The sequence below is a fragment of the Homo sapiens genome, chromosome 10 (genome assembly GCF_000001405.40).
Source record: "Homo sapiens chromosome 10, GRCh38.p14 Primary Assembly".
NCBI classification, from domain to species: domain Eukaryota; kingdom Metazoa; phylum Chordata; class Mammalia; order Primates; family Hominidae; genus Homo; species Homo sapiens.
In genome coordinates this window covers 101,568,998-101,578,134 of record NC_000010.11, presented here as the reverse complement: position 1 = coordinate 101,578,134, position 9,137 = coordinate 101,568,998, and the positions used below count along the sequence as shown (strand labels likewise).

Sequence of the window (9,137 nt, the reverse complement as noted above, 5' to 3'; positions counted from 1 at the left end):
GGATCCCACCTTGAGTGTGCTGGGTGGGCTACATTTCTGTTGGTAACTTGCAGAGTCCCGGAGCCAGCCTTTGTCTGCCTGGTCTCGATCATGGGATCCTAGCAGCCTGGGAGTAGGCCCCCCAACTCAAGCTCATACCCCTGAAGTGTAAGTCAGGGGGTCTTCCCAGCACTGATCATGTTGGGAAAGGAATCAGAAGCCCACAGGACCTGGAGGGCCCTTTCGCAGCTCAGCACCAACCCAAGAGATGGCCAATCAAAAGCCCAGAAGCCTTCTAGAGGGGCGAGCCTCTCCCCTGAGAGTGTCTACTGCCAGGGACACATGGCTGCCAAGAGCCACAGTGGGGGCCTGGGTAGATAGGAGAGGGGCTGGGGAAAGCCTGGGCCCCCGGGTGTGAAGGCTTGCTTTTGGTCCCACTCTGGACTGGTCCCTCAGTGCCTGCTGCTGTCCCCAGCAAGAGTTGGAGTCAGCAGAAGTCCAAAGATGCGTGTCTGGGTCCAAATGTGGAAGTTGCTTCTCTCCTTTTGCCGCAGCCTGCTCCAGGCCCAAGGAACAGGACCTCCAGGGCTGGGGGTGGAGGGAACCAGTGTGCAGCAGGCCATAGAGTAGCTCGCCCAAGTTTTCCTACACACAGGGAGGTCCCAGAACTGCAGGGAGGGATGCCGCTTACTTCTTTGTCTGAAATCAGGGTCTGACCTCCATTCTTGACATCCCTCCCCATCTGCCTTAACTCCTTCCCCCAGGAGACTCAGAATTCAGAGACTGCCTTGAAACCATGCAGACTCTTGGTCCCACCTCCTGGCCAGGGCAACACAAAGTCGTGGGATAAAGAGGGAGCATGCCCCACCTCCAGTGACCCATCTGGGTGTCCCTTCAGCTGCCCAGTCTGACACAGAAGCCCAGGAGAAGAGCCACTGAGGCAGAGGAGCTAATGGAGGGATTTCTGAGTCTTGAGAAAGGCTGCCCAGTTTGGAGGTAAAATGAGGTGAAATGAGGTTCTCTGAGTCCAAGTAAGCAAGGAATATGAATATTGGGGGTTCCCAGGCACTTTAGCGCTGAACCAGGTTCTCGAACAGGCTTTCAGCCCAGTCTCCCATTCATCCTGAATGGAGAGAGACTCCATTTCAGGGCCCTGGTGGTAACTGGGGTCCTGTCCAGCAGCTGAGCACCCCGCACACCTACCACCCAGTCACCACCTGGCCTGGAGTAGGCAGAGAGACCCCACAAGCCTGCTCCCTGCTCCAGCCCAGTTCTTCATCACTCTGTCCCTGAGCCAGGGTTGTCCTTGGACAGGCCACGTGTGGCAGGCAGAATAATGGTCCACTGAAGATGTCCATGTCTTAATCCCTGGAACCTGTGAATATGTCACCTTAGTTGGCTAGAGGGACTTTGCAGTTGTGATGAAGCTTAAGCATTTTGAGATGAGGTGATTATGCTGAGTAATCCTGTGGGCCCAGTGTAAACATGAGTTCTTAAGAGCTACAGTCAGGGCCGGGTGTGGTGGCTGACGCCTGTAATCCCAACACTTTGCGAGGCCAAGGCGGGTTGATTGCTTGAGCCTGGGAGTTTGAGACCAGCCTGGTCAACATGGCAAAACCCCATCTCTACCAAAAAAAAAAAAAAAAAAATTCAAAAGTTAGCTAGGCATGGCCAGACCTAGTGGTGCCTATAATCCCAGCTACTTGGGAGGCTGAAGTGGGAGGATCACCTGAGCCTGGGAGGCAGAGGTGCAGAGGTTCCAATGAGCTGAGATTACACCACTGCACTCCAGCCTGAGTTGTAACAGAGTGAGACCCTGTCTCAAAAAAAAAAAAAAAAAAAAAAAAAGCTACAATCTACAATCAAAGAGAGACTTGACGAGGAAAGGTCAGAGAGATGCGAAGTTTCTGGCTTTGAAGATGGGGAAAGGTCTCCAGCCAAGTGTGAGCAGCCTCTAAGAGTCAGAGAAGCCAAGGAACAGCTTCTACTCTAGAGCCTCCAGAAGGATGGCAGCTCTGCTGATGTCTGGCCTTATCTCAGGGAGCCCTGTTGGATTTTGAGCTGGTGGAACTGTGAGATAATGACTGTGGTGTTTAAGCCAGTAAGTTGGTGTAATTTGTTAATGTGACTGCAGAAACCCAATAGACCGAGTGCGTGTTGGGCTCTCCCTGTACAAAGGCAGAGGGACAGCAAGTGTGAGCAGGCCCTGCTGTGAGGTAGAGGGCATCCTCTGAAGTGTGTGGGGAAGGGGGAGCCTCACATGAGCCCAGGGCTGCCACATGTTCAGTCTGAGCCTCCCTAATTTCAGTTTCTTCTTGACACTGTGCAAGATGCAAGTCCCCGCTGGGCTGCTCTGCCCCACCCCTACTGAGCTTGGAGCTTCATCTTTTCCCAGGGCCTGGGGTGGGGACCTCAGTCTTGACCTTAGACCTACACTAAAAGGGGAGCAAGACAGGCCCCGGCCTTTCCTCCTGGGTTCCAGCTGCTCACAAGGCAGACGTGGGCACCGGGAAAGGGGAGCGAGACAGGCCCTGGCCTTTCCTCCTGGGTTCCAGCTGCTCACAGGGCAGGTGTGGGCATGGGACAGGGGCTTCCCAGGCATCACCTGGAGTGGGCATGACAAGGTAGGCAAGTCTAGCTGTGTCCCATCCTACAGTTCCAATGGCTGGGAAAGGCAAACCCAGGCCCATTGTCTTGCTTCTCCAGGAGAATCATGGAATTACTCTCCCTTTAAATGGAATGGGATGCCTCTTGCCAGGATGGAGGACTGTGGCTTGGAGAAGACTTGGGCTCCCCAAACAGGGGCGCCCCTTTCCAGGCCCTCCCCTGTTATCTGAGGGAGTGGCCTCCCATGCAAGTTACTGCTGTTGGGGCACCTGCTGCTACCAGGCTTGCAGGCCTTGATGGGCTCAGCCGCAGGTGCCTTTGGCCTTATGTCTGCTCTGCCCTTAGTTTTCCAGAACTCTTGAGCCACTGGGGAGTACTGCTTCTGAGCTCTGGAACTGGGGAGTCCTCAGGGATGAAGTCCCAAACTGGCCTGAGGCTCTGTTCGGCAAGACCTGGTCCCCACACTGCAGGGAACATCCCTGAAGAAGGCCCCAGGCCTGGAGATGAAGCAAGGCCCCAGGGGCTGAGGGGCCATGGGTAGGGGCCCGAGGTTGCCCCTGGAGGGCAGTACGGACCCCAGGGAAGGCAGGCTACTGGCCGTTGCTTGAGTGGAGCCTCTTAGCAATGGTGGCACCTTTGCCCTGCTGGACTCAGCCTGGCCCTGATGGAGCAGGCCCAGAGCCCCAGACACAGCGCACCTCCCCCATCCTTTGCTCCGGTTCCCTCAGCTGGGTGGTTGTTGTTGTGTGTGTAGTGCCCCTGCATATGTGTGTTCATGTTCCACTGCAGGGGCATGTGTGTGCCTAATGCACATTCCCGGCCCCTGCGTCTGTGCTGTATGTTCATGATTTTGTATCTGAGTGTGTGTGTGCTCAACCCTGGGCATGTGACCGTGTGGCCCTGTCTGTTTAGGTCTTGGTGGAGGCCCTGCGTTGTTAAGGGCTCAGGCAAGGCCTTGGGTAGAAGGAGGTGGGGGGTCCCTGGAAGTCCCCAGTGGTGCTGGAGTCCCTACTGCAGGTGGAGTCCTGGCTGGGCCCCCGGACCCTGTGTCCTCGTGTCCATGGAGGAGGCCGCAGGGTGGGCCGCCTGCGTCAGCCTTGAGCGGCCATCAATAGCGCGCGGTTAATTAATTTGATGGGAACAGCAGGGACCGCCGTTTGCATTTAGTGAAGTTCCAGGAACTTCCAACCTCATCTTCATAATTGGCCTCATAAATTGTAAGAAAGAGAGAGATCAGCAAAGCGGGAGGGAGGAGGGGCTGCCCGTCCGTCCTTATTTAATTTTATTGCTGAAATTCATCTTTTTAGCCTCCTCCGCCGGAATCGGCTCTCCCTGCCGGATTTGCCTAATCATGATAAATTAATATTCATTTCCCCGCCTCTTACCCAGCTCCCGCGCTTGGATGGAGTTGGGGAGGGGCTCCTTCCAGCCCCCTCTGCTGGGCCTTGGTGGGAGCCTGGGGGAATGGGGACCCCTGAAGGGCAGCTTGTAGGCAGAACTGAAAGTGGCACCTGGGGAGGGTAGGAGGGGCCTGGGAGAAAGATGAGGAGTGAAGCAGGTGGGGCTGGATGATTGGGACTCTCAGAGGGCCTAGGATGCTGAAGTCAATGCCCCTTGTCCAGCTAGGGCCAGGTGGGAGGGGCAGGAGGAGCCTGAGAAGGCCCTTTTGGAGATGCAGAAGCTGAGATCAGGACTGATGAGATGGATCTGGGAGAGGAGCCTGGAAACCAGCTTGAGTGGAGAGGTAGGAGGGTTGTTGCCCACCCAACATGGACTTTGCCCCACCCCACTCCCAAGTACATCCAGCCCACCTTGCCCTGTGCAGGCTCCATAATAGACCCATCATGGTCTATGGGGCCTCACAGGCACTGTGGTCTCTGGCTACAGAAGCAGCCTCTCCACTTGCCCACAGCTCAGCTCAGCGGGGGAGCTGGCCGCCTTATGCTGGGCACCTTTGCTGTGCTGTGTGGCTGTCACCGATCCTGCTGTCCCTAGCAAGGCCCTGTGGGAGGTTGGGATGGGGGTGCTGCTGGAGGGCAACACAGTCCTGCTCTTCCATGGTCAGTGGGGCCCCCCAGTCAAGGGATCTGAATTCCCCATCCCCTGTGTCACAGTTAGTATTTGGGACCTGGGAGGAATTTTAGATGCCATCCAGCCCCCTTACCCCATTTATAAAAGAGGAAACTGAGGCCCAGAGATGGGATATGCCCTGGTTCAAGGTCTCTCAGAGGTCAGGAGGGCTGGACCTAGGAGTAAGGCATGCTTCCACCCCACCCCAGAAGCTAAGTGTGCTGGGCAGGATTCAAAGGATCACCCCCAGTTATCTTTGCCTTTGGATTATCTCCCGTTTGAGTGTGGGTATGACTGTGATGAGGTGTCACTCATGTGGTCATGTCACATTATACGGCAAAAGGACCTAGTCTAATCACATGAACTCTTTAAAAGCAAAGAGCTTTCTCTGGCTGGTAGCAGAAGGGCAGTCAGAGAGATTTGAAGCAGGAGAAAGGCCAGAGAGCATCCTTGAAAAGCAGCCCTGGCTGACAGCCAGCAGGGAAACAGTCCTACAGCCACAAGGAACTGAATTCCACCAGCAACAAGAATGTGTGTGGATGCAGCCTTTCCCAGAGCCACCAGCGAAGAGCCCAGGCTGGCAACACCTGGATTTCAGCCTTGTGGGACCCTAAGCAGAGAACTGGGCTGAGCCTGCTCAGACTGCTGACCTACAGCACTGTGAGATCATAAGTTGGTGTTGGTTTAAGGGGCAGAGTTTGTGATAATCTGTTATGCAGCAGTAGGAAACAGACTCATAGGGCCTAGGGGAAGGGTGTCTTAGGAAGCTCCTAGGAGGTGGGCAGGGGATGAAGTTGGGAGAGGGCTGGGTGCTCTGTCCTAATGCCATCCTTCCCCTATATTCCCACATGGTAGTAACTGACTGGACCCAAAGTCCTCACCACTCCCTACTGCTGTAACTGGGACCGAACCCTGTAAGCATTTACATTTGTGACTCTTGCCCAGGTGGAGTCTGGGCCCCTGCGTGGTAAGCAGTGAGCTTCCCTCTCACAGGAGTGGGTCCTTGACAAGAGGAGTTTCTGTGGCATTGGCTCAGGTAGAGCCTTCTAGGTTGTGGGCACTCCAGGCAGGCTAATCTGATGCCCTTTCAAACCAGAGTTCCCTTCCTCCTCCCAAACCAGAGTTTTTCAAATGTATATATTCATGGTGCCTGGATTGGTGCCAGTAAAAGATGTTTTTTGTTTGTTTGTTTTGAGATGGCGTTTCGCTCTTGTTGCCCAGGCTGGAGTGTGCAATGGCGCGATCTCAGCTGACTACAACCTCCATCTCCCGGGTTCAAGCGATTCTCCTGCCTCAGCCTCCTGTGTAGCTGGGATTACAGGTGCATGCCACCATGCCCAGCTAATTTTTGTATTTTTAGTAGAGACAGGGTTTCACCATGTTGGTCAGGCTGGTCTCGAACTCCTGACCTCATGATCTGCCCGCCTCGGCCTCCCAAAGTGCTGGGATTACAGGCGTGAGCCACCGCACCCGGCCAAAGATGTTTTTGATTCCTACTAGATAGAAGGCAACAGCTTCTATGGAGGTTGGAGAAGACCAAGGCACATTTTTCAGGTTATGAAAGGAGCCTCCAGTGAGGAGTTAGCTGTACCCTATTTCTGGTTTGTTTCAGCAGAGTTTCACCGTCATTTATTGACTCCTGAGCCTGGCCAGTCCACCCTTAACCCATTCTGCACATGGATTATATCATGTAGGCTTCCCAACAGCCCTCTGATAGTTGTATTATCCCCATTTTGCAGATGATGAAAGTGAGGCCCAGAGAGGTTCATTTACTAGTTCTAAGTCACACACCATATGAAGAACAGAGCTGGGTTTCAGCTCAGATCTGTGTGACCTGGGAAGCCCAGCTGGTTTTCCTGGCTCCTCTCTGGGACTGGTTCGATCCATCCCAAATGTAACTGGGCTTTCTGTCCTAACCTCTTTCCCTCCTTCCCCCTTATCTGAAGCAAGGAGCCTGAGCTTTTCAGTCTGTGGAGGGTTCCTGTGCTGATGTTGAAGGACACAGTCCCCGGCCCTGAAGCCTGGGGTTTGGAATCAGCAGTCGCCCGCTTGCCCTGAGGTGGGGTCTCCTGACCTCTCCACCTCCATTTGGGAATTAGTGGTGTCGAGGGCTCCAATGCCTGAGCACTCCTAAGCTACAGCCCTGCTGGAGGCAGGGGTCCGGGCTCTGTAGCTCACAGACATCCCTACGTGTCTGCCCTGTCCCCCATGGCCCCAGCGGGCCTGCACACACCTGACCCTTTCCCCTCAGCCCTTGGCCTCATGTCCCTGCACACACCCGGTCCGGCCCCACAGCCCACACATGCCTCACTTGTCCCCATGCCAACTCCACCTCAGGGCCTGATGGGGGCCTCGCCTGGCCTGAGACGTCGCCTCCCCACAGCTCCAGGCGTCCGCTGAGGAATCCTCCCTCATCATCCTGACCTTGGACCCAGCATTCTGTGGAGCACTTTGGGGCCAGTTTGAGCATAGCCTCTGGTCGAGCTACCCTCCCTACCTGTCAGCCAGACAGCACCTTGTAAGGGGATCATCCCCCGGCCTGTTCCCCTTCCTCCCGAGCTGCCTAACGGGGAGGGAGCCGAGGGCCCTCGGGCGTGGCCCCAGAGGAGAACCCAGAGGCCATGCTCTTCCCCTTCCTGCTGGCAACAGTCCTGAGCGCCAGCTTCCCACCTCAGAGACTCTGAGAACCAGGGTCCACCCACCTGAGGGCCTCCTTGGCTCTCCCTTACCTTGTGCCCACGGGAGCCTCAGGACCACCAAGCGGAGGGGCGGTCTGCAAGGAGATGTCCCCTCTCTACCTCCCTGCGAAGAATAAATTCGGGCTGCAGATGCCCCTCGGGCTCCGCAGGGAGGAGCCTCACTCGCCACTCTAGCTTCAGGCTCTGCCTTCCTGATCCTAACACCCTCCACCCTCTGGGAACAAACGGGCCTCTGGGATCCGAAATGGGAGCGGCCGCACTGAAACGGGGATGGCGGGATGGGGAGTGCTCCGTGGGGCGTCCTTGGGGACGGGTGCGGGGCCTGCCGGGCTGCGGGGCCTGGCTGGGGGCGGGGCGGGTATTGGGGGCCACGGGCGCGCTTCCTGGAAGCCGCCAGCAGAGGGCGCGCGAGGACCGGCGAAGAGGTCCGGCCGCGCGGAAGGCCTGGGTGGGGTGTGGTTGAGGGTGCGGTGGGTGCGGGGCAAGAAACCCGCGGCCGGGCTTCTCTCCGATCTCGGGCGTGAGAGTGGAGTGGGGTGGAGTGGGGTGGGGCGGAAGGGTCCCCACTGCGCTGCTGCAGCGCGAGCCCCCGCTCCTCTCTGCAGGAGGCGGCCCGAAGGGGCCTGGCGTGCCCTTCGAAGGGGGTAGAGCCTCCCCGTCACCCCGCCGGGAGCTGAGACAGCGGAGCTGGGACTGGTGACTTTGGTGCTGAATCCGGTGGGACCCCATTCCCCACACTCAACCCTGGTCAGGGCTCTGTGCCTCAGTTTCCCCGTGGGTGTGTTCTGTCCTTGATCCTGGATGTTCTAAACTGGGAGATCAGGTGGGGTGAGAACACCGAGTGGGCGGGAACCAGCACCTCCCCAGGTCCCCACCCCATCCCTCTTTCCCCGCCCACCTTGAAGGCAGAGCCTGAGAGAAGAAAGAGATGGGGAGAGGAGAAAGGCGTGAGAGACGGAGGGAGGGGCTGCCTGGAGCACCGTGGGGAAGTTGAGAAGGTTCGCGGAGGAGGGCCGGGATGCGTGGACACGAAAGCGGGCCCAGCTCCCCCGGGGAAGCTCTTCCGAGACTTGCTGAGGCCGTCTGCGCCTCCTCCCGGGCTGAGCTGGGGGCTGAGCTCTGGACTGCATCCCAGGGACCATCGCTCCGCCTGTAGCCCACCTCCAGCCGCCGTGATTTATGGCTGGGCCAGGCCCGTCGACCTTGGACGGATAACTAATGACAGGTCAATAACGCTACAGAAGAAGTGAACTGGTGAGGGGAGGAGGGACGAGGCCCATTAGCCGGCCCATCCCCTGCCTGCCGGCATCTCCCCTCTCATCCTGGTGCCTTTCACTGCAGTCCCCTTGCTGGGGGCTTCCCAAGGACCTCCTGACAGGTCTGAGAGGTGATGGTTAACACCGCTGCAATGGGGGTGGGGGTTGGGGTAGAGGCGTGACCAGAACACATTGGAGAGACCCAAAATGGGTCACAGGAAGGTGAAGGAGACAGGTGGGGGTGGTGGGGGTTCCTGGGAACACACGCCTTTTCCATTCTCATATTGGGAAGCCAGCATTGATTGAGGGGGGAGGGAGCAGTCCTTGCCGTTGGAAGGCAGGGTACCCTGGCAGAGGAACCCTGGTGCCCCCCACCCCCCTCCACCGGGCTCCCTCCCCAGGCCCCTCTCTCTGGTGTCCTCTGCCTCCTCCCACCCCAAGCTACCTGAGGTCAGAGTGTTTACTGTAGTCTTTGGGGGCCACCTCATTTCTGTGCCTGCTTGTATGTGGGTTGTACAAGGCACTG

The 9,137-nt window shown here is 57.3% G+C and overlaps 1 annotated feature.

The window, feature by feature from the left end:
• Positions 7,701-8,000: a silencer, noted in NCBI's record as "silent region_2721". NCBI's record gives its function as "represses an Ori minimal core promoter by ATAC-STARR-seq in GM12878 lymphoblastoid cells {active_cell/tissue: GM12878}" and the evidence as "EXISTENCE:reporter gene assay evidence [ECO:0000049][PMID:35858748]".